This window comes from Homo sapiens, unplaced genomic scaffold (assembly GCF_000001405.40).
Source record: "Homo sapiens unplaced genomic scaffold, GRCh38.p14 Primary Assembly HSCHRUN_RANDOM_CTG20".
NCBI lineage: Eukaryota > Metazoa > Chordata > Mammalia > Primates > Hominidae > Homo > Homo sapiens.
In genome coordinates, this window is record NT_187498.1 from 128861 (window position 1) to 154834 (window position 25974).

General features: G+C 44.8%; 2 long non-coding RNA genes across 3 annotated transcripts; both read right to left on the reverse strand.

The window, feature by feature from the left end:
* Positions 1–7080: 7080 nt before the first annotated feature.
* On the reverse strand, positions 7081–14115 carry LOC102725051 (uncharacterized). 2 transcript variants are annotated; one of them, XR_001756160.2, is made up of 4 exons: positions 13545–14115; positions 12684–12778; positions 10888–11060; positions 7081–10734 (listed from the first exon to the last, which is right to left on the reverse strand). It is a non-coding gene; the product is annotated as an uncharacterized LOC102725051 (long non-coding RNA). The 2 variants fall into 2 exon arrangements; XR_001756158.3 differs by lacking the exon at positions 13545–14115 and having other exon boundaries at positions 12684–12881.
* A 5679-nt stretch (positions 14116–19794) lies between these two features.
* On the reverse strand, positions 19795–21069 carry LOC107984150 (uncharacterized). Its single transcript, XR_001756161.2, has 2 exons — positions 20568–21069; positions 19795–19992 (listed from the first exon to the last, which is right to left on the reverse strand). It is a non-coding gene; the product is annotated as an uncharacterized LOC107984150 (long non-coding RNA).
* Between the last annotated feature and the right edge of the window lie 4905 nt (positions 21070–25974).

Below are 25974 nucleotides of genomic sequence, written 5' to 3' on the forward strand. Positions count from 1 at the left end.
TTTCATATGGCAGGAGTAGAAGCAAGACAGAGAGAGGAAAGAGGTGAGACATCCTGTTATACAACTATATCTCATGAGAGCTCACTATCAGGAGATCAGCATCAAGAAGATTGTGCTTAACTGTTGGTGAAGGATCCGCCCACCTCCCCATATCCACCACCCACTGATTCCAAGCAGAAGCCTGAGGCAGAGACAGATCCCCTTGAAAAACCTCTACTAGGGCAGTACAGAAGGAAAATATGGGCTTGGAGCCCCCACGCCACCATCCTCCAGACCCAAGAGTCATGGACCCACCAACAGCTCACACCCCCAGTATGGAAAAGCTTCAGGTACTCAACACCAGCCCAGCCCATGAGAGCAGCAGCAGGTGCTAAACCCTGCAAAGCCACAGGTGCAAAACCACAGGTGCACTGCCTTAGTAGAGGTTTTCCATGAGCCTCTGCCTCTGTGGCAGGCTACTCCCTTCCTGCTACACACCACCCTACAGCCAGCCTACTCCTCCCCACCTTACCCACCTGTTTTTACTTCCAACCCCACCCCTCTCCCATCCATGAATAAATCACCTCTCACCAGTCCCCACCTGCAACATTCTGGATTACAATTACATGTGAGTTTAGGTAGGGACACACAGCTAAACCATATTATTTTGACCCTGATCCCCCAAATATCATATCCTTCTCACAGAGTAAAATACAATCATGCCTTTTCAAAAGTTGCCAAAAGTCTTAAGTCATTTCAGCATTAACTCGAATGTAAAAAGTTCCACGTCTCACCTGAGAAAAGGCTACAGTCCCTTTTGCATACAAGTCCCTGAATTTAAAAGGGAGTTCTTTTCTTTCAAGGTACAATGATGGTACAGGCATTGGGTAAGTTTTCTCAATCCAAAGGGTAAAGGTTTGCCAGGAAAATAACACAAATGGGATCACAGGGCCAATGCAAGTCCAAAACCCAGGAGGTCAGTATCCATTCAATCTCACAGCTCCAAAACCATCACGAGAACTCACCATCATGAGGAAAGGATTAAGGAGATGGTGTTTAACTATTTCTGAGAGATCATCCCCCCACCCCCACTTTTCACCCCTCACCCCCAGCATAATCCACCCATCCTCCCCAATCTCCACCTTCCAACACCCAGTGCCCTCCATGATTAAATCACCTTCCACCTGGCCCCAATTTTAACACTTCTCATTACAATTCCACATGAGTTTCCATAGCGACACACAGCCGAATCTTATTATTCTGTCCCTGCCTCCCCAAATCTCATGTCCTTCTCATTTTGCAAAATACAGTGATGCCTTACTTACAATTCCCCAAGCCACTATGCTTTTTTTTTTACAGCCTGCAGAACCATCAGCCGATTAAACCCCTTTTTGTTACGATCATACAGAAAATTAGTACTGTGAAGTGAAGCTATGAAATGCCTTCAATGACTTTTCCCCATCATCTTGGCTAAGACCTCCAAGGTCTTAACTCATTCCAGCATTTACTTCAATGTCTGAAGCCCAAAGTCTCATCTGAGACAAAGATGCAGTCCCTTCTGTTCCTGAGCCTCTGAAATACAAAGCAAGTTAACTATTTCCAAGGTATGATTGTCCAGGCATTGAGTAAGAATTCCCACCCTAAAGGAAGATTTTTGCCAGAGAGAACAACGAAACACAAACGGGACTTACAGGTCCCAGGAAAATCCAAAACCCAGCAGGCCAGTTACTCAAACTTACAGCTCCAAAGTCATCCTTTTTTAATCCTTGTCCCACATCCAGGGCACAAGGGCATGAGGGCTGGACTCCCAAGGCCTGGGGCTGGTCTGCACCTGTGGCTTTGCAGTTTTCAGTCCCCACAGCTGCCCTCATGGGCTGTGCTGGTGTTGAGTGCCTGTAGTTTTTACCCACAGAGTGTACAAAGCTCTTGGTGGGTCTATGAATCTGGGGTCTGCATATGGTGGCCTCCAGTGTGGGGGTTCCAACCCCCTATTTTCCTTCTGCACTGCCCTAGTAGAGGTTTCCCAGGAGGCTCTGCTTTTTTGGCAGCCTTCTGTCTGGACACCCAGGCATTTTCATACATCTTCCAAAATCTATATGAAGGCTCTGAAGCCTCTGGGCTAGTGCTCTATGGACTCGATGGCTTAAGACTATGTGGAAGCCGTGAAGCCTTATAGCTTGTACCCTCTGAAGCAGTGATGCAATCTGTACCTGTGCATCTTTCAGCCAAGGTCGGAGCAGGAGCTGCGGCTGCTGGGATGCAGACAGCAGTGTCCTGAGGCTGCACACAGCAGCAGGGCCATGGGGCTGGCCCCAGAAACCATTCTTCTCTCCTAGGCCCCAGGGTCTGTGACACCAAGGGCTGCTGCAACTATCTCTGAAATGCCTCCAAGGCTTTTTCCCCCCATTGTCTTGGCTATTAGCACTGGCCTCCATTTTATGCAAATTTCTGGAGCCTTCATGAATTTTCCCCCTGAAAATCAGCTTTTCTTTTTGACCACTTGGCCAGGCTGCAAATGGTTCTAAACTTTTGAGCTCTGCTTGTCATTTAAATATAAGTTCCAACTTGAGGTCATTTCCTCAGTCACACATAACCTCGGTCACACAAGAACATGGGCTGTTTGATGCAGACAGGATCCCCCTTGTGCTATGCTGCCTAGAAGTTCATTCCACCAGATATGCACTAAATCATCACCCTCAAGTTCAAAGTTTCACATATCTCGAGGGCAAGGTCGCCCTGCAGCCATGTTCTTTGCTACAGCAAAACAAAAGTAACCTTGGCTCCTGTTCCCAGTAATTTCCTCATTTTCATCTGAGACCTTGTAAGCCTGGCCTTCACTGTCCATCCTTCTGCCAGCCTTTTAATCACAACTATTCAACAAGTGCCTACTATGGTCCAAAATTTCTTTCATCTTCCTGTCTTCTTTCAAGCTCTCCAAACTCTCCAACCTCTGGCTGTTACCCACTTCTGAACCTGCTTTACATTTTCAGCTATCTTTGTTGCAGCCTGACAATGTAGAAGAAAAAGAAGTCCATTTTCAGGGGGAAACTTCAAGAAGGCTTCAGATATTTGCATTAAAAAGAAGTCCAGTGCTAATAGCCAAGACGATGGGGAAATGTCATTGAATATATTTCATAGCTCCACTTCGCAGTACTTTATTTTCTGTATGATCATAATGAAAAGGGGTTTAATTGGCTCATGGTTCTGCAGGCTGTAAAGAAAGCATAGTGGCTTCTGCTTCTGGGAGGACTCAGGAAGACTCCCAATCATACCAACAGGAAAACAGCAATGAAATATTTCATACGGCAGGAGTAGGAGCAAGGCTGAGAGAGGAAAGAGGTGCCACACGGTTATATAACCAGATCTCATGAGAACTCACTATCACTAGGTCAGCATCAAGAAGATGGTGCTTAACCATTGGTGAAGGATCCGCCCCCCAACACAGCTCCACCTCCTAGTGTTCCAGACAGAAGCCTGCTGCAGAGGCAGAGGCTCTTGGGAATCCTGTACTATGGCAGTGCAGAAGGAAAATAAGGGCTTTGACTGACTATGCAGGAGGCCACCATCCTCGAGACCCCAGATTCATAGACCTACCAACAGTTCACACCCTCAGTATGGAAAAGTGATAGGCTCTCAACACCAGCCCAGCCCATGAGAGCAGCCATGGGGGCTAAAGCCTGCAAAGCCACAGGTGCACTGCCCTGGTAGAAGTTTTCCATGAGCCTCGGCCTCGGCAGCAGGCTACTCCCCCTTCCTACTATCCATCACCCTCCCATGGCCCTACAGCCAGCCTATTCTTCCCCACCCTACCCACCCCTTTTTTCTTCCACCCCTACCCCTCCCATCCATGATTAAATAATCTCCCACCAGGCCCCATCTCCAAAATTTGGGATTACAATTCCACATGAGTTTTTCCAGGGGCACACAGCCAAATCATATTATGCTGACCTTGACCCCCCAAATATCATATCCTTTTCACAGAATAAAATACAATCATGCCTTTTCAAAGGTTTCCAAAAGGCTTAACTCCTTCCTGCATTAACTCAAATGTAAAAAGTTTTAAGTCTCATCTGAGACAAGGCTGCAGTCTCTTCTGCCTATGAGTCCCTGAAGTTAAAAGGGTGTTTGTTTCTTTCAAGGTACAATGATGGTACAGGTACTGGGTAAACTTTCTCAATCCAAAGGGAAGAAATTTCCAAGAAAAATAACACAAATGGGACCACAGGCCCAATGGACATCCAAAATCCAGTACGTCAGTGTTCATTCAATCTCACAACTCCAAAATCATGAAGATAACTCACTATCAGAAGGACAGCATTAAGGAGATGGTGTTTAACCATTTGTGAAGGATCCACCCCCACCCCTGCCTTTCACCCCCAACCCCACCACAATCCCCTCCAACCCTCCCCACCCCCGATTCCCTCCAACCCTCTCCACCCCAGAATCCCCCCCACCCTCCCGGTGCCCCCAACCATCCAACCTCCACTCTCCACCATGATTAAATCACCTTCCATCGGCCCCCACCTTTAACATTTTGCATTAACATTCCACATGAGCTTTGGTAGAGACAGAGAGCCAAAACCTATTATTCTGTCTCTGGTCTCCCAAAGTTCATGTCTTTCTCACATTGCAAAATGTAATGATGCCTTCCCTAGAGTCTCTCAAATCTTAACTCATTCCAGCATTTACTCAAATGCACAAAGCCCAGAGTCTTATCTGAGACAAGTCTACAGTCCCTCCTGCCCATGAGCCAGTGAATTGTAAAGCAAGTTTACTACTTCCAAGGTACAATGATTGTACAGGCAGTGGGTGACTCATAGGATACATAAGTGTCCAAAACCCAGCAGGCCAGTTACTTAATGCTACAGCTCCAAAATCACCATTTTTGAATCCTTGTCCCATATCCATGGCACAGGGCTGTGAGGGCTGAGCTCCCAAGGCCTTGGGCAGATCTTCATCTGTGGCTTTGCAGCGTTCAGCCTCCGCAGCTGTCTCTCATGGACAGGGCTGTTGTTGAGTGCCCATAGCTTTTCCACGCTGAGGGTGCAAGCTGTTTATGGGTCTATGAATCTGGGGTTTAGAGAATGATGCTTCCCTGTGTGGGGGCTTCAACCCTATAGGTCCCTTCTTTGCTCCTCTAGTAGAGGTTCCCCATGAAGCTCTGCCTCTTGGAAAAGCTTCTTCCTGAACATCCAGGATTTTCTGTACATCTTGTAGAGTCTAGACGGGAGTTCCCAAGCCTCTAATCTCTTTCTCTGTGCACCTACTGGCTTAACACTATATGGAAACCATCAAGACTTTGAGGCACCTCTGAAGCAATGACCCAAGCTGTACCTGTGCATCTTTCAGCCATGGCTGGTGCTGGAGCTGCACGGATGCCGGCAGCAGTGTCCTGCGGTTGAGCACAGCAGCAGAGCCATGGGACTGGCGTAGGAAACCATTCTTTTCTCCTAGGCCCCAGGGCCTGTGACAGCAAGGGCTGCTGCAGACATCTCTAAAATGCTTTCAAGGCCAGTTTCCCACTGTCTTGGCGTTTTGCACTGGGTTCCTTTTTATACAAATACCCTAAGCCTTCTTGAATTTTCCCCCTCAAAATCAGCTTTTCTTTTTGACCACTTAGCCAGGCTCCACATTTTCCAAACTTTAGATCTCCACTTGAAGTTCCAACTTGAAGTCACTTCTTAGGTCACCCATAAGAACACAAGCTGTTCAATGTAGGCAGGACACCTCTTGTGCTATGCTGCCTAGATGTTCATTTCACCAGATACATCCTAAATCATCACCCCCAAGTTCATAGTTTCACAGATCTCCAGGGCAGGGTCCCCATGCAGCCAGCTTCTTTGCTAAGGCCAATCAAATGTAATCTTGTCTCTTGTTCATAGGAAATTCCTCATTTTCATCTGAGAACTTTTAGGTCTGGACTTCAGTGTTTACACTTTTGTCAGCCTTCCTATCACAAGTATTTAACAATTCTCTATAGTGGTCCAATATTTTCCTCATCTTGCTGTCTTCTAAGCTTTCCCAACTCTTCTGACCTCTGTCTTTTACCCACTTCTGAACCTGGTTCTACATTGTCAGCTATCTTTATCACAGCCTGGTAATGTGGTAAAACAGAAAAGTCCATTTTCAGGGGGAAAGTTCATGAAGGATTCAGATATTTGCATGAAAAGAAACTGAGTGCCGGTTGCCAAGACAAAGGGGAAAGGGCCTTGAAGGCATTTCATGGCTCCACTTCATAGTACTAATTTTCTGCATGATCATAAAGAAAAGAGGTTTAATTGGCTCACGGTCCAGCAGGCTGTAAAGGAAGCACAGTGGCTTCTGCTTCTGGGAGGATCAGATCAGGAAGCCTTCCAATCATACCAGAAGGCCAAGGGGCAATGAGATGTTTCAAATGGCAGGGGTAGAAGAAAGACTGAGAGAGGAAAGAGGTGCCACCCCCTGTTATATAACCAGATCTCATGAGAACACACTATCATGAAGACAGTATCAAGAAGATGTTGCCTAACCATTGGTGAAGGATCTGCCTCCCACCCCCACCTCCCACTGTTTCCAGGCAGAAGCCTGCTGCAGATGAAGCATTCTTGGGAAACCTCTACTAGGGCAGTGCCGAAGGAAAATATGGACTTGGAGCCCCCATGCAGGGGGCCACCACCCTCCAGACCCCAGATACATAGACCCACCAACAGCTTGCACCCTCCGTGTGGAAAAGCTACAGGCACTCAACACTAGTCCAGTCCATGAGAGCAGCCATTGGGGCTCAAACCTGCAAAGCCACAGGTGCGCTTCCCTAGTAGGGATTTTCCATGAGACTCTGCCTCTGCAGCAGGCTACTACCCCTTCCTACTACCCACCACCCTCCCACCACCGTACAGCCAGTCTACTCCCTCCCACCCTACCCACCCCTTTTTCCCTTCCACATCCACCCACACCCATCCATGATTAAATCACTCCCTCCCACTCCCTGTCATAATCTAATCCCCCCAAACCCTTCCAATCTTTGTTTGCTACCCACTACTGAGCCTGCTTCTACTTTTTCAGAAACCTGTATAGCAGGTTGGCTATGTAGCAAGAACAAAAATCCCATTTAAGGGGAAACATTCAAGAAGATTTCAGAAATTTGCATATAAAGAAGCCCTGTGCTAATAGCCCAAACAAAGGGAAAAAGGCCTTGAAGGCATTTCACAGCTCCTCTCTGCAGTTCTACTTTTCTGTATTATTGTAAATAAAAGAGGTGTAATTGACTCATGGTTCTGCAAGCTGTGAAGGAAGTATAGTGTCTTCTGTTTCTGGGAGGAATCAGGAAGCCTCCTCATTATATCAGAAAGCCAAGGGACAATGAGATGTCTCCTAAAGCAGGAGCAGGAGGATGAGATCTGTTAAACAACAAGATCTCATGGGAACTCACTCATTATCAGGAGGATAGCATCAAGGTGATGGTTCTTTATCATTCGTGAAGTGTCTACCTGCACCATTTTATGACTAAATCTTTTTCCACCTAGACCTTGCCTGTAACATTACAAAATGTAATTCCACATGAGTTTTGGTAGGGACATAGACAAAAACCGTATTATTCTGTCCTTGACCCAATGAATCTCATGTCCTTCTCACATTGCAAAATACAAACATGCCTTGCCAGCAGTCTCCCAAAGTCTTAACTCATTTCAGGATTAACTCAAAGTTACAAAGTCCAAAGTCTCATCTGGGTCAAGGCTACAGTCTCTTTTGCCTATGAGTCTCTGAAATAAAAAGCAGGCATTGTGTAAGCTTTCCATTTCCAAAAGGAAGACATTTTCCAGAAAGCTTCTTATTTCTCTCTGAGACCTCCTCAGCCTGGCCTTCACTGTCCATGTTTCTGTCAGGATTTTTGTCACAACCATTGAACCAGACTCTAAGATGGTCCAAAAGTTTTCTCATCTGTCTTCTTTTGAGCCCTCCAAACTCTTCCAACCTCCGTCCATTACCTGGTTCCAAAGCTGCTTCAACATTTCCAGGTATCTTTATAGCAACGCTCCAGTCCTCATTTGCCATTTCCTGTATGATTTATTTTGAAAAAGAGGTTTAATTGGCTCATGGTTCTAAGCACAGTGCTTCTGCTTCTAGGCCTCAGAAATCTTTCAATAATCATGGAAGGCAAAGAAAGAATCAATTGTCTCACATGGCAAGGGGAAAACACGGAGAGTGGGGAGGTGATATAGAGATTTCAGTGACTACATCTCATGAGAAGTCACTCATTATTGTGAGGATGGTACAAGGGGATGGTGCTGAACCATTCATGAGAAATTTGCCTTCATAATTCAATCACCTTATACCAGGATCCACCTTCCACATTAGGAAATATAATTCAACATGAGATTCGGTGGGGACATATATTCAAATTGCATCATCAATCTTTGAATATAAAGACATCCACAGCAGGCTTTATCCAGCCAACTTCTTTGAGACTCTTTATAGAGTTTGAAGTCTAGAGCATATACACTAAAATATTCATACTTCAAAAAGCAATAAAGTGGTATTATCATTTTTCCAAAAGTTACAGCAGTAGTTTAGGCATTCATAGTATGATTTAGTTCATGATTGCTACTGTTTCTATTCTATCACCATATTAACTGTTTCCTATACAATTCTGTATTCAGCTGGATTTCAGTTGAGCACAAAACCATCCTTGTACTAGCTCTTTGCTAGTGTTATTATTCTGCTGTAGAAAGTATCCTTGAACTGGAAACCGTCCACGATCGAGTATCGAGTCATTCAACACTATCAATTCCTGGGTGACTTTTTGAAAAAGTAGTATATCTTGTTGCAAGAAATGCTGCATCTGTGAGTCCATGTCTCTCACTGGAATTGGATGGAAGTGGTGAATTTCAGCCAAAGTGGCCAAAGAAATCCTGTTCCTGTGATTCTGACGTCATCAGCCTCTGCACCTCTGTCTTCCCTTCTGCCACATGTTGCCTGCTCTCCATGACTTTGGTAAGAGCTTCCTTGTGTATGTGGATGATGTCCAGGATGTTGGTGTGGTGTCCCTGAGACAGCACTAACAGGTCCATGGCTGGGTCCAGGTCCTTCCTGGGCTGACTGGCAAAGAGCTCACTGACAGAGTGGAAGGCATCTATACTGAAGTGGATGGCCTGGTCCAGCTCCAAGGCCTGGCTGAGGCTGAAGAAGAACTGTCAGGCTTCTGATGCTCTTTCTCAAAGCCTGCCACCACTCATTGGCTGTGAAGTTGAGCTGAGTGCCCTGTTGTCCATCTTCTTGGTGAAGCACTTGAAGCTGTCAATCTTGCTCTCCCACTCCTAAAAGTTCAGTGTCACACTGGGGGTGGGCTCAGGGCCAGGAAGAATCTGGCACTCACCATCTCATCCTTCTCAGCCTTCCTCTTGCCCTGTCTCCAGGCTATCTCTTCAGTGCTGGTGGGGCACATCAGGAAGTGACAAAAAATGTGGCACTGCACCTGCATCCAGAAGCTGGCTGTGTGGTTCATCTACAAGACTGGGCCCTTTCTGCACTTGAACATAGATCCACTTCACCATAGATGCCTTCCACACTGTCAGTGAGCTCTTTGCCCATCAGCCCAGGCAGGATCTGGACCCAGTCATGGACCTGTTAGTGCTGTCTCAGGGACACCAGACCAACATTCTGGACATCATCCACATACACAAGGAAGCTCTTACCAGAGTCCTCCTCAAGATGGCTTGTGGTCTGCCTCTTGGCACCCGAGAAGCCCACAGTGCTGTAGAAGCCCCGATGCTTGGACTGGAGCCCCAGAGGCAGCACACACCCCAGTTCTGAGCCTGCTGCTCATTTCCTCTATGTGGCTCCATTTGCAGCACATTTGTTGCACTGAGGCCTGTGCATGCCAGGCAAAGCCAAGCTGGCTCAAAGAACAACCACCCACCTCTGCAAGGGTGTGCCAGGAGCCAGTGGACCAGCCACCAGCGTCACTCCCTGCCAGTCAGGGTAAATCAGTTATTCTGCCCTGGAGGTGGAGCCCCAGTGCCATCTGCTTTTCCTCAGGCCTCCACTCCATCAGCTGTCAGGTGGTGGTCACTCAGACTGTGGGAAACTGGCCATCCCTGTTTCCTTGAGTGGGTGAGGTTGGTGACTGCTCCACCTGCTCCTGGCACACCATTGCAGAGGTGGCTGGTTGCTCTTTGAGCCAGCTTGGCCTTGCCTGGCATACACAGGCCCCAGGTACTGAGAAGCTGCTCCGAGTAAGTTTGTCTTGGGCCAAATTCTAAGTCTGGCCAGGGCCACAGAAGGCCGAGTCCCCTGGGTGGTAATCCTGGCTGCTGCAGGGGGGCCCATGGTTCCCCTCCCCTCCCAGGGCTCAGGATGAGGTCCAACTGGGACAGGATGCTTTAGGTATGGGACTTGTGCCCCAGGAGGGGACCTCTGTCACACACGTTGGGTAAGAATATGTATGGCATGCTGCTGGCTGCCAGGGCTGTTGGGATGCACGTTCACCCTTCCCTTCAGGGACCTCAAAGTGACCAGCTTCCCCTTTATGAATGACTTCCCAAGGCCCAGGAGCCATTTGGGGCTGCAGAGCAGCTGGCTGCATGCTGCCCTGGCTTCTTCCATGTTGTGCTGGTCACTACCTACCAAGGGGGGTCAGATGCAGGCACAATGTAGGACGATTGTCTCTGGACCTGTGTCTTGGTTATCATGGAGCTAGACTGGGCCTGGTGACAGGGCCCTGATGGGGTTGTCCTGTGTGGTCACGGAGGTGATCAGAAAAGATGCAGAATGGAATTGCTGCGAGGATGAATGAGATGACTGTCAGCACATAACAGGCAGCTGGTGAGTGTTCAGGGATTACCCTCAGTAGCTGCCCAGAGACCGAAACCATCCACCTGATAGTGACTTTTCCCAAGCCAGGAGGAAGAGAAAAGAGCAGATCCCACTCACCTGAATCTGATCAGTGAGCTGTGTTGAGATGTGCCTCTCATCTAGAAAATGGTCCTTCACGCAGAGCTACTCACAGACACTGCTGTGTGTCTCTAACTGCTCCACAACACAGAGGCGATGGGGACTCAGCAACAGTGACATTGTGGGGTGACACAACCCACCACCATGGGAGTCTGCTTGGGTCAACAGTGCCCAGAGTCAGTGTCCTCTATCCCCTGAACTGACATGTGTGTATGCAGTGTATTTGTGTATGCATGTGTGCCTGTGTGTGTGTGTATGTGTGTGTTTGTCTTGCTTCTCTGGACAGGCCTAGCTTCTCCACTCATGGGTGCATCCAGGTCCTCATCACTGTCACCTTAGAGCATTAGAGCCTCTATAGGTGCTCCCCAATCTCTGCCCTCCCCACCCATGGTGGTCCTGGGGATGCAGACAGAAAAGGGGCACTGCATAATGCTGAGAGGGCTGGCACCCTCTCTAGGTGGAACACAGGTCATTTGTAAAGTTGTAGGTCTGCCAAGCAGTATTGGATTCAACACATCTTCTCACCTTCTCTTTCCAGCCACCCTCCAGGGTGCCCCGACTCACTTTCCCTGCAGATGGAGGCAAGGAGGCTCCACAGACAACCCCCCTGCCTGAGGTCACATAGTGGCCAGCAGGCCAGGTACTGACCAACTGCCCCTGACCAGGTTCCCAGTGATGAGTGATGAGGCCCCTAATGACCACTCCTCCATTGACCAGGTCCCACTGATCAAGTCCCCACTGACCATGTCTTCCTAACCAGGCCCACACTTAATAGGATTCATGGGCCAGACCCCACTGACCAATTTTCCACTGACCTGGTCCCCATTGACAAGACCGGGTTCCCACTGACAAGACCACAATTTACCAGGTTGCTGCTCACCCGACCCCCCACTGAACAATTCTCCATGAACGAGTACCCAGCTGACCGAGCCCCCTCTGACCAGGCCTTCACTGACCAGGCTCCAAGCCACTAAGGCCCCACACTGACCAGGCCGGTGATATATTGTGTATGCCCCACCAACCAGTTTTTCATTGTTTATGTTCCAACTGATCAGGCCCCACTAATAAAGCCACCACTGACTAGGTCCCCCCACTGACCAGGCTTCCAATGACTAGGTCACCAGGTCCCCACTGATGAGGCCTTTACTGAGGAGGCTGCCACTAACCAGGCCCCTGCTGATCAGGTCCCACATGACTAGGTCCTGATGACCAGGTCATCTCTGACCATGGTCCACTGACCAGGCCCCGGAGCAACGGGGTGCAAAGTCTCATTACAATGTCCCCCTCAGCTCATAGACCCTCCCTCCCTGCATGTGTGCCCAGAGGTCAGGCCCTGGGGTTTTTTTTGGGACATGGCCTTTCCTCCAAGACACAGGGAGAGACAGCTGGCCTCAGGCTCCAGGTTCCCAGCTCCACACTCACCCCAAAGGCCCTCTGGGCCCATCTCAAAGGAGAAAGTGAGGTGGCCTGACACTGCCTGGACACACCATCTACCCTATTCCTGAGTGTCAGAGTGTGAGGAAGGGAGGGACATTTGGCAGATAAGGCACGCTGTGCTGTTGGGTCTCTCAGGGCCCTTCCCACAGAGCCCCGATCTAAAGACACAACACAGAGCCTACAGGAAGACTAATCCAGAACCTCTGAGACAGCCAGGGACCACATGAGGACTCTCTCCAGACAGCCAGAAGGCCCTTTGCTAGTTTCTTGGTACCTCAGTGGATGTGGCAGTGGTTCTTCTGTTGGGGACCAGTGAGTACATACTGGGGAGGGCTCACCTGTGCTTCCTCAGTGGCTCCACCTCTGCTTCTAAAAAAAATGACTCATTCCAGAGCTGGCGCAGAGAAAATACAAGCTGAGCTTAGAACATCTTCTGCCAGAAAGTAAAAAAGTGCCGACAGAGTAATGGAGACAAATCAAAGAGACATAAAGTCAGCTTGGAATGTCTACTACTGGCCTAATCTTGGGGAATTGGAGCATCAGAGTCATGAGCTTTCCTTCTCCCCTATTTATTGGTTTTATTTCTCCATGTAGAACAAAGAAGAGAATAAGAAAATAATCATCTGGTAACCATCATAGTAATAATTGTTCAAACACAAGTCATCCATGAAATGCTAAATCTAGTGGGTTCTGAGGAGTAACCAGATATTTACAGAGCCTCAAAGTATCTCCATACAAAATACGGTTGAACTACAAAAAGAAAATTGTAACATTAGCATGGACAAACCTGGCAGGTACTCCTTAACTCTCCTAAGTAATAAAAACTGTAAAATGCAAATAAGCCTTCGATGACCTTTACTAACCTTTACTAAAGTATCAATGATGACTTGGTTGTTTAAACAGCTGACATTTGGGCAATTTGAGTATGTCAAACTCAATAATACTGGTTTTCATTTGCAAGATCCACTTAAAACTTAAGGAGGCCAAAAAACATCATTTAAAATACCCTATAAATTATAATCATACATATGATACAAAAATATCCTACTTCAGTAAATATTGGAATGTTATATATTTTATGAGAAACAATTAAAATGTGTAAATAGCCCAGTAATAAAGTTTTATAATCTTTTAAATCAACATAGAATTTTTCCTTAAGACTTTATGGTTAAATATTCTCTTCATTAGATGTGGCTTACCCGTGGATTCTAGAGAAGAAAGTAGATGGGAGCAAGTGTCCAATACAGCAACAGCTGGAAAGAAAAATAAAGAATTTTGTTCTTTACCTAAAACACTTCAGTTAACTAAGTGTGAGTTTAAAAACTAAAGACTTGAGAACTTTATCAGAGTTAATAAGAATGAGAAATATGTATGTGCATTTACAATACAAAATTACTATTTAATAATTTACACATGGCATTAATTCTAATTGTGTTTAAATATCAGAGCTTTTTCAGTCTTCATTCATGTAATCAACAGCCACATGCTAAGGTACTAGAACCAGCACTGGAATTACAAGATGAAGATGGCATGGTCCACCTCTCAACAGTCATAAACTCTAACCTAAAAAACAGACAGGCAGGCAATGTCCATATAGAGTCATAGATACCATGACAGGTATACAGCAGGGCACTACGGGAACACAGAGAAGGGACATCTACCCACTTTTATGTCAATATCATGGGCTTTCTGGTGGAGGAGATAACATAGGTTGATACCTGAAGGACAAGGAAAAGCTACCCAGATAGAGGAAAGAGGCAAAGGCAAAGAGCCTGAGGTGAAGAAGAGCCCTGCAGAGTTCCACTCCATCCAGTTTGGTGCTAGAGCAAAGGGCAGAGTGCAGTAAGTGGTGAGAAACAAGGCTGAGTAACTTGACAAGAATTACATTGACATGGGTGTTTTTATTTCATGGTGAAAAATTTGGAACTTTTCCTGAGAACAAGTGTAAGCCAATGACACGGTAAATTAGAGGAGATTTAAAATGTCACCTGTCAAGTGACTGCTTATGAAGGGTTATTGCTCAGCTAAGTATTTCTGAATGAGTCTTAGGTCTGTTGGCCTTCAATCTCTACCAAAACCCTGAGAACTTGATGATGCTTTTGTTTTCTGAGAATCGTTTCAGTGTGCTGGCTGACAGTTCCATGAGGATGGCAAAACTTAAGAAAGTGTAGAGCCAGTGAAAAAGAGATGCACAGACTTCTTGGGAACTGTTTAAGCTTTGGAACATGATGAATTTTTGGTGCATAAGTACAGTCTTCTCTGTGAAAGTTTTTGTTTTCACATCTTTCATTAGATGTGTGTAAGAAAAAAAATATTGATGTAGTATCTACTAACCCAAGAATGAAAAGGAATGCCATTTGCTATTTACACTTTATTTCTAAAATAAACCTAAATTTAATTAATAAATTTTGTCAACGTACTTCTCTTTGTTTCTCTAATTATTTATTCTACACAGTCCGGCCCCATCTAAAGTAAGTAAAAATAATAATAATGTCTAAATTAAACAAGAAACATTATCATGAAAATCATGTATCACTTACAAAATGTGGCCTTTAGTATTTTTAGTGACTAGACATAACTTGAAGTTTGCTTAAATAGAAAAATAATCACATAAATAAAATAAAATTTCTACTTATTTTAAGTTTAGATAACAGAGGATGTATATGTGTAATGCTGTTTAGAGTAATCTGACAAAAATGCAGTTAATATTGATCTATTGCATATACATGATTTTAGAAAGGTAGTGTTTTATTAATACAAAGGTTAAACAATGGCCAGGCATGGTGGCTCATACCTGTAATCCCAGCACTTGGGGAGGCCAAAGCAAGCAGATCACAAGGTCAGGAGATCGTGACCATCCTGGCCAACATGGGGAAACCCCATCTCTACTAAAAATACAAAAATTAGCTGGGCGTGGTGATGTGCACCTGTAGTCCCAGCTACTTGGGATACTAAGGCAGGAGAATTGCTTGAAGCCAGGAGGTGGAGGTTGCAGTGAGCCAAGACTGCACCACTGCACTCCAGCCTGGTGACAGAGTGAGACCCTGTCTCACAAAAAAAAAAAAAAAAAAAAAAAAGATTAAGTAATTAAAGCCATCTTTTGCAATGAATGCATTGCTTTGAAATTCTTAGAAAACTCTGCCCTTTATAAAAGTTTAATCCATTTTTTACTTCAATAAATTTTATCTTAAAAAGAAATTTCTGTTCTCTACTTATAGGAAACTTTTCTTTTTTTTTCTAGTTTGTATTCTAAATTAACGTGGTACCTCTGTAAGTTTCTTCCAAAGGCATATTGAGGGATACCCAGGTTTGCAGTACAATTAAACCCATCACACAGGTTGTGAGCATAGGACCCAAGAAGTAGTTTTTCAACCCTGGCCCACTCTGTCCCTCCCCGTTCTTATTTCCCAGTGTCTATTATTCCCACCTTTATGACAACGTGCACCCAATATGTAGCTCCCACATGAGTGAAAACGTGAGATATTTGGTTTCTGTTTCTGCGTTGGTTTGTTTAGGAGAGTGGATTCCAGCTGTATTCATGTTGCTGCAAATGACGTGATTTTGTTCTTTTCATGGCTGCATAGTATTCCATGGTACATATGGAATTTTCCAATCTACCTTGGATTTTCAATCTACCTTGGATGTACCTGGATTGACTCCACGTCTTTGCTATTGTGACTAGTGCTGCAATGAACATACATGTGTATACATCTTTTTGTTACAATGATTTATTGTCCTTTCGGTATACCCCTAGTATAGTAATGGGGTTGCTGCATCCAACAGTCATTCTTAGTTCTTAATTTCCAAACTGCTCTCCATAGTAGCTGAATTAATTTACATTGCCACAAACGGGTTGTGTTCCCTTTTCTCCACAGCCTCCCCAACATCCTTTTTTAAGTTTTTATTTATTATTTGTTTTTAACAAAAGTCATTGTGACTGGTGTGAAATGGTATCTCATTGATGTTTTGTTTGGCATTTTTCTGATGATTAGCAATAGTAAGCATTTGTTAATGTTTGTTGGCCACTTACGTGTGTTATTTTGAGAACTGTCTGTTCATGTCCTTTGCCCATTTTTAATGGTCTTATTTATTTTTTGCTTGTTGATTTATTTAGGTCTCTTATGAATTCTGGATAATAGGGGTTTGCTATATCCATACTTTGTGAATATTTTCTTCCATTCTTTTAGGCTGTCTGTTTAATCCCGTGATAGTTTCTCATGCTGTGCAGAAGCTATTTAGCTAAATTAGATCACACTTGTCAATTTTTGTTATTCTTGCAATTGCTTTTGAGGACTTAGCCATAAATTAATTGACAAATATGATATCCAGAAGAGTATTTCCTAGGTTTTCTTCCAGGATTTTTATAGTCAGAAGATGTACTCTTATGTAAGGAAAGCACAAACCTTTTTTTTTGTTTTGTTTTGAGACAGAGTCTCCATCACCAAGGCTATAGTGCAGTGGTATGATCTTGGCTTACTGCAACCTCTGTCTCCTGGGTTCAAGTGATTCTCCTGCCTCAGCCCCCTGAGTATCTGAGATTACACATGCCTGCCAACACGCCTTGCTAATTTTTGTATTTTTACTAGAGACAGGTTTCATCATGTTGGCCAGGCTGGTCTCAAACTCCTGACGTCAGGTGATTCACCTGCCTCGGCCTCCCCAAATTTTGGGATTACAACTGTGAGCCACCATGCCTGGCCAAGCACAAAACTTTTAACATAAAAAGGGAAATGAACATTTTAGTGTTTTGTTTAATTCATAAAATGCAATTATTTTGGATTCTACTAAATAATAAACATCCATATGTGGCAAAGTGTTTGGATGCCAATCATTCAGTTGTGATTATGGGTGGGAAGAATTGAGATGGTGCAAATAAACTTTTTTTAATTTTTTTTTTATTTTCAAGATGGAGTCTTGCCCTGTCACCCAGGCTGGAGTGCAGTGGTGCAATCTCAGCTCCTGCAACCTCCGTCTCCCAGTTTCAAGCAATTCTCTGCCTCAGCCTTCCTAGTAGCTGGGATTACAGGTGCCCACCACCACACCAGGCTAATTTTTTTTTGTACTTTTAGTAGAGATGGGGTTTCACCATCTTGGCCAGGCTGGTCTTGAACTCCTGACCTCGTGATACACCTGCCTCAGCCTCCCAAAGTGCTGGGATTACAGGCATGGGCCACCACACCTGGCTGGTGCAAAGAAACTTTAAAAGTGGCATGGGCCGGGTGTGGTGGCTCATGCCTGTAATCCCAGCACTTTGAGAGGCTCAGGCAGACAGATCACAAGGTCAGGAGTTCAAGAAGAGCCTGGCCAATATGGTGAAACCCTGTCTCTACTAAAAATGCAAACATTAGCTGTGTGTAATGGTGGGTGCTTGTAGTCTCAGCTACTCGGGAGGCTGAGGCAGGAGAATCACTTGAACCCGGGAGGTGGAGGTTGCAGTGAGTGGAGATGGCACCAAGACACTCCAGCCTGGGTGACAGAGTGAGACACTGCCTCAAAAAAAAAGAAAAAAAAATGTGGTATGAACCACAGCTAAACTACAATCAATTAGAGAGTAAGCCAAAGCATCTCAAAGTATATCATCAGTTATCAGGCAATAACATGCAATTTCTAAAACCTAACTTAAATGCAGCTTTTAAAGACATTTCAAACGTGTCAGTTTAGTCACATTTATTGAATAAAGTTAGCAAATGGATATCTCTTGAAAATGAGAGCTCCAGGGAATTAAAAAATGTAACGTTCCCATTTCCTTTCTGTGTTAACACAGCTAATTATGATCTTTACTTCACATGCAAAAGTCAACAGAACAACTCAGTATTTCACCAAATTATAAACAAGAATTACGCTAGAGAAATGAAACCCTAAAGAGAAATGGTCATATAACTAACATCAGTCAAGTAGTTCTGGCAGTTATTTGAAGTCTGAGGTTTGAAGTAGGAATTCTTACGGGCATTTGGGGAATATATTTTCTGTTGAGTCCTATACTAGTAAGATTTTCAACACAAGGTGACTCTCGACCTCGCCTTGTAGGAAGAGTGCTGAGAAAATATTTCACCTGCTCTTTCTCCATAAAGAGCTGATACTGATCATTGTTATTTTCTTATTCGATCTGTAAAGATAGCAAAGACAAATGCTTAATATTTCCTTTTTCCTTAAATGATTCTTAATGACTTGCAGTTTTTAAAAACTTACCCTGAGAGTAAACCAAATTACCCACTAAATAGTGTTTTCACACAGAAGATGTGTAAGAGCATACCTGTTGTAAGGAATTATAATTTTAAAATCGTTCTAAAGAAGCACCATTGTTTCTAAGGTGATTTCTACTGAACAAGCAGTTCAAACAAAGTAGACAGGGAAGAGAAATGGCTATCAGTGATGTATGGCTCAACACGTAAAACTTCCTGCCTTCTAAAATGGCTCTACTTGTAAGATTCTGAAGATTCCATTAGAAATACTTGTATTTAAAGGGTAATAATGTGGGAAAATGAATCTGTTGATTTGCTTGATTATAAGAACCACTTCACTAGAAATAATTATATCAAAACATCATGTTGTACTCCTTAATGTAGGTTAAGAAAACTAAAATGAACGAAAAAAAATCTAGGAATACTTGTGTTTAGTAAACCAGTTTTAGATTTCACTCTTGTACATTTCACCCATTGTCTAGGACCAATTAAACATTTGGCACTGAGGAATAATTCAGAGCAACAACTCCTAGGGGAGAACTAGAATGTCTGGTTGGTGATCAAAAAGAACTAAAGCATCTCTGAAGGCAATTAACCCCCAACACTGTGACCAAGGCCCTGGATGTGGGGGCATGTTCTTTCTGCCTTCCACACACTCCTTCAGGCTGAACAAGGTGTTATTTTTTAACCGCTTTGTGAATTACACTTCTTTAAATTCCTGTGATAATTATTCCCTATTTCACAAGGGTGCCTTTCTGTAACATCTTGAATATGTTACACAAATAGTCTTCCTTGAGGCACCCACTGGTGATAATACTAAAGATCACAATCAAAAACAATTGTGCCCAGAGTAGCAGTACCACTTTGCATTTAGGTTGTGATCCACTGAAAAGTAAATTAAACACATTAATATTTCTATTTAGGGAAATTCTGACAAGTAATTTTATAACAAGATCACTTCATTAATTATAAAGCTTCAAAAATACTTAGTGAAAAAAACTAACAGATCAGGTTAATTACATGAGACTTTTCAGGAAGCCATACAGAAGCAAAAAAAAAATGAGAGGAGAGAAAAAACTATCTTTGACTAACATTTTAAAGGTAAAATTATTTACTAACATTATTTTTCAAAATTACATTGTCAAATTAGCATTCACTTCCTTCTAATCTCCTGAAGCCATCTCACTAAAAATTATGCTTTTGAAACAAATTAATGAGCTTAATTCATTTTCTATGAGTGTATGTTTTGATTTAGTTAATTTTTTTGACATGGAACTGTTAGCTTTCAATGCTGCTGCAAAGGCTTCCTTATATTCTTCTAACTCAGTTGTAACCTCTTCATAAGCAGTTTTCATTTTGTAGAATTTACATTCCACATCTTTAAGTGTGAGTTCCTTCTTATTTAGTGAAGCTGTATTATATCCTTGTTTAACTGCTCTAATTGTTTTTTATATTGTGCTTGTTCCTAAAACAGAGGAAAAGAATACACTTTTAAAACAATTATAACCTAATTATTATGTTTGTTGCCTTTCATTTTGAGTCAGTGATTCAAAGAGTATTTTTGAATATGTTAAAAAAGAGGATGAAGTTTAAAATATTTCAGCAATATCAAAACTAATAACTGAATTCAGAATTAAGTCTGATTTGTATTAATGTAATCTGGTCATATAAAAAGTAATAGAATCCATTCATAGTTTTAAAAAGTGATCAATGAACACTGTAGCTTAAGACCAATTCATAATTATCACATAATTTCTAAATCACAATTTTTTCCTATGCCAACTGGTCTTAATCATCAAATGACTCCATAATGAGAATCATTACTCTGAAAGATAGATTTTGTTATACTAATAATGGAAATTTAAATATTTAAAAGAAAAAACAGATACCATTTTTTTCTAGAACTCTACAAAGCAGATTGCTACAAGAGAGGCAGAGGAAACACTATATATATATATATATATAATCTCCAAAATATAATTTGCAGTGAAATAAATGAAAGCACATTACAAGTAAACTTACCTGATTTAAACAACTGACCTGTAAATGGATTTCTTCTAATTTTTCTACTGCCTGCATTGCCCTTTCATCTAGCTCTGATTTATATTCTTGTAGTTTACTAAGTTCTACCATACTGTTTTCCATATGTGTCTTAAGATTTAATATTTCTTCTTCCAACATCTTTTTATCCTCCTCAAGTTTTTCACCTTCCTGTTGTACTTTTTTCATAGCTAATAACTCCTGTTGAAAAACTTGATTCTCTTTAGCCAAATTGACACATTTTGAAGATACAGCTTCCTTCTCCGCCATAAGATCATCAAACTGCATGAATAAAATAGTATAGCTTGATAATGAAGTAGGCTGAGAATAATCTAATACAAAACCAATAGCAAATTTTGAAATGCATTTACTTGCAATAAAATGTTATCTGTAATGCAGCAGATTCTTCAAATGTGAACCCTTAAATTACTCAGAATTTTAAGAACAAAGTTAAAGCTACCATGAGTCATAAAATATATTATTTACTATCATCATCTTTGCCACAGAATTTTTGTACTTCATTTTACTTTTATTTTTCTGATAATTCATTTGTGTTCCTCCTTAAATGGCACAAAGTTATCCCCTAGTAAAAAGTGTCTAACCCCCTTCCTTCATTATCATTCCCCACAGAATGTCAAAAAAAGTTTCAGAGATATCATATTGAGTTATTTAGGCCAAAGTCAATAAATGGGTCTAGGAATAAGACTTTGAAAGTGATATTACACTCTATATTAGGCATGGTGGCTCATGCCTGTAATCCTAGCACTTTAAAAAGCTGTGGCAGAAAGATCACTTGAGGCCAGGAATTTGAGATCAGCCAGAGCAACATAGTGAGACCCCCATCTCTACAAAAAAAAAAAATTTTTTAATTACCTGGGCATGGTGGCTCATGCCTGTAGACCCAGCTAGTTGGGATACTGAGGCAAAAGGATGGCTTGTACCCAGAGTTCAGGGCTGCAGTGAATTATTATCACTGCACTTCTGCCTGGATGACAGACAAAGACCCTATCTCAAAAAAAAAAAACACAAAATAATGAAATCTATGATTAAGGATTCTGATGCTATAAGCCTTTCCTTAAACTGCAAATGTTTCATGCTAATTTGAATTGTATTTTAAGAAGTAATGATTCTTGGGGTCCCGCTGCACAGCTGTGGGGTGAGGATAGACTGGGTGGTGATATCGGCCATGACAGGGGCCTCTTCTGCTGGCAAGAGTGTGACAGTAGCAAGTAGATGGACAGGCCTGCGTGTGAGGACGGAATGCAGGAGCGGCTCTTGTGCGGCTGGGTGTGGGGCCCTCACGGGAACCGTGGAGTGATGGCCAGGTAACTGCGTCATGTGGGCTAGTAGACTGGCCAGGGCTTCGAACTGAAGGACAATAACGGGGAGTAGCTGTCAGGCCCTGGGAGTGTCTGAGTGTAAGTGGAGATGGGTTTGGGGTCACTGAGGGATGCGTGGGAGCCATCCCTGTATAGGTACAGGTCATAGGGAGATAGTCTCGTGTGGCCTGTGAGTGTCTAGGGTTGTCCTGGGTGCCTGGGGCTGACTGTGGCAGAAATCTGGGGAAGGCTGGAGAGAAGCTGGGAGACCCAGGAGAGTCCCTGAAGGCAGGGGGTGAAGAGGTGAAAGAAATGGTGGAGGGTTGCAGTAAGGTCCGTGAGTTTGTAGGTGATTCCTGGGTGCGGGAAGCTGACTCCAGGTGAAATCTGGAGATGGGTGGAGAGTAGCTGAGAGAGACAGAAGAGTCCCTGAGGGCTGGGGGTGAGAACATGAGGGAGACTGGGGAGTAAGTCAGTGAAATTCGTGAGTTCGGTGGTGTATCGTGGGTGCCTGGAACTGACTCCAGCTGGAATCTAGAGAAGTTTTGAGAGTAGCTGAAAGAGACACAAGAGTCCCTGTGGGCTGAGGGCAAAGACCTGAGAGAGACCAGGGAGGACCTCAGTGAAGTCTGTGAGTCCGTAGGTGATTCTGGAGTGTGGGAGGCTGACTCCCGCTGAAATCTGGGCGTGGTGGGGGAGTAGCTGGGACAGACAGGAGAGTCCCAGGGTGCTGGGGGTGAAGACATGAGAGAGACTGGGGAGTAACTCAGTGAAACTGCTGAGTTTGTAGGTGATACCTGGGTGCCTGGAACTGACTCCCGCTGAAATCTGGGCATGGTTGGAGAGTAGCTGGGACACACAGGAGAGTCCCTGAGGGCTGGGGGTGAAGACATGAGATAGACCGGGGAGTAACTGAGTGAAACTGGTGAGTTTGGTGGTGATTCCGGGGTGCCTGGAACTCACTCCAGCTGAAATGTGGGCGAGGTTGGAGAGTAGCTGGGACAGACGGGAGAGTCCCTGAGGGATGGTGAAGACATGAGAGAGACTGGGGAGTAACTGAGTGAAACTGGTGAGTTTGGTGGTGATTTCTGGGTGCCTTCAACGGACTCCCGCTGAAGTGTGGGCGTGCTTGGAGAGTAGCTGGGACAGACAGGCCAGTCCCTGAGGGCTGGTGAAGACATGAGAGAGACTGGAGAGTAATTGAGTGAAATTGGTGAGTTTGGTGGTGATTCCTGGGTGCCTGGAACTGACTCCCGCTGAAGTGTGGGCGTGGTTGGAGAGTAGCTGGGACACACAGGAGAGTCCCTGAGGGTTGGAGATAAAGACGTCCTAGAGACTGAGGAGTAACTGAGTGAAATTGGTGAGTGTGGTGGTGATTCCGGGGTACCTGGAACTGACTCCAGCTGCAATGTGGGCGTGGTTGGAGAGTAGCTGGGACAGATGGGAGAGTCCCTGAGGGATGGTGAAGACATGAGAGAGACTGGGGAGTAACGCAGTGAAATTGGTGAGTTTGGTGGTGATTTCTGGGTGCCTGCAACGGACTCCCGCTGAAGTGTGGGCGTGCTTGGAGAGTAGCTGGGACAGACAGGCGAGTCCCTGAGGGTTGGAGATAAAGACGTGCTAGAGACTGGGGAGTAACTCAGTGAAAGTGGTGGGCTTGGCGGTGATCCCTGGGTTCCTGGAACTGTCCCGCACTGAAATGTGGGCGTGGTTGGAGAGTAGCTGGGACAGACTGGAGGGTCCGTAAGGGCTGGGGGTGAAGACGTGAGAGAGACTGTCCAGGATCTCCCTGAGGTCTGTGAGTTTGTAGGTGTTTCTGGGGTGTGGGGTACAGACTCCCGCTGAAATGTGGGCGTGGTTGGAGAGTAGCTAGGACAGACAGGAGAGTCATGGGTGGCTGGGGGTGAGCTGCTGGATGATGGCAGTAAGAACATATGGTATATTATTGATGAATGAGGTGACTGTGAAGAATCTCCAGAGGAGGACACGGGAGAACCCAATGATAAGAGTGACTGTCCTGCTTGGTTAGGAAAGGGAAACGTAAAGCTGTGGAATTCTGTTGATGATGGATGTGGGAGTGGTGAAGCCATGCGGGATGATGTAGAGTACTTCCACATCCCTGGTGAGGAGCTGCCCCTTGGGTCTGAGTTTCTGGGAGGGGAGAGGGAGAAGCTGGGTGAGGCAGGCATGAATCTTGAGGAGTCAGGGCTGGGGGACCGCTCATATTCTCCCGAGACCTGTGAGTCTCTGGGGGACTCCTGGGCGCATGGGGCTGACTCCCGCAGGAACCTGGGGATGGCTGGAGAGTAACTGGGAGCCACAGGAGAGTCCCTGAGGCCTGGGGGTGAAGAGATGAAAGACACAGGGGTGGAGCACCGTGAGGCTCGTGAGTTTGTAGGTGATTCCTGGGTGTGGGGGGCTGACTCCAGCTGAAATCTGGGGTTGTTTGGAGAGTAGCTGGGAGACACAGGAGACCCCCCGAGAGCTGGGGGTGAGCTGCTGGGTGATGGCAGTAAGAACATGTGGTATATTATTGATGAACCTGGGGACTCTGAGGAATCCTCAGAGGAGGACACAGGAGAGCCCGATGGCTTCATTGATTGCCCATCACGGTGAGGACAGGGAAATGGGAGCTTGTGGGATTCTGGTGATGACAGAGGTGAGTGTGGTGAAGCCCTAGGGGATGGTGAATGGTAGCTCCGGATCCCTGGTGAGGAGCTTCCCCTTAAGCCTGAGTTTCTGAGAGGGGAGAGGGAGAAGCTGGGTGAGGCTCGCATGGACCAGAAAGATTATTCTCAACATATGTGTGTCTTCTAATTCAATGGTGACGCTATCTATCGGGACATAGCATTAGATTCCAAAGGGCCGAGTCCCGCCAGAAAGGCCTCCCACACTAATAACAACGGGGAGCCCTACGTTGTTTTACCTGGGCTTCTCAGCAACTGGCTATAAATCAGGTTTCCACCACTCCCAGATTTAGTTGCATTCATTTGCTGGAAGAGCTCACAGCACTCAGGGAAACACTTACATTTGCCGTTGTATTTTAGCGGACATTGCAAAAAGTTCAGAAATGAATGTGGGGCCCGGCATGTGGAGAGGGGCGTACTACCTTCCAGGATGTGTTATCCAGAAGCTCTCTGAACCCAGTCCTTTTGGGTTTTTATGGAGACCTCATTCTATAGGCATGATGGGTTAAACCATAGGCTATTGGTGATCAGCTCCACCTGAGGCTCTCAACCCTCCCTGGTAATTGGGGTTGAGGCTTTGCCATTCTCAGTCTGACTAAAATAATTTACCCAAACGGAATTTTAAAACAGATGAGCACAACTGGAATCTTAATTAGATGATTGGATTATCTGGAGCCACAACTTGATATTCCGAACCCGAGCACCCTCATCCAACGAATGCTCCACCCAACTGGCTGCCAAGTCTCCACGTGTTTCCAGAGGAAAAGAATGCTTATACAACGCATATCTCCACCTTTTCTTCAAAGTCTTTTCGCTTACACGGAAAGACTTCTTAAACTGCCATGCATCAGGGTCAGGGGGAGGTCTTGTTACAACACAGATCTGTGGATCTCCGGGGTTTGATGGTGGCAAGGATGCTGCTGGTGTCAAAACCACAACGTGGGAACCACAGAACCACTAGTTGGTTCTCAGTGTTTCAGTGCATACAATTCCTAATATATCTGGCCAAGAAAACTTGGAAGTTCTTAGATTGTCCCAAAGTTGGCGCATGAAATCAAAGTAGGAGAACAGTTTCCTACGAGGTGTAGCCTGGGAAAGTTGGGGGTGACTGACGGAAAGGAGGAGTGAAGCTCCGCACTTTCCGTTGCTAGGCTGCGCCCGAGGCTATTTAAACCCACCCTGGCTGGCCTGTACTCAGATCTTCGCGGAGCGGATCAGCGGCCGGAGCCTTTGGCGGACTCTGCGTGGACTTGGAGCTCACGGCGTCTTGCGACTTGGAAGCGGATTCAGAGGACAGGACAGAACACTTGGGCAAGTGAATCTCTGTCTGTCTCTCTGTCTGTCTGTCTGTCTGTGTGTCTGTCTCATTGGTTGGTTGATTTCCATTTTCTTAAGGGGCAC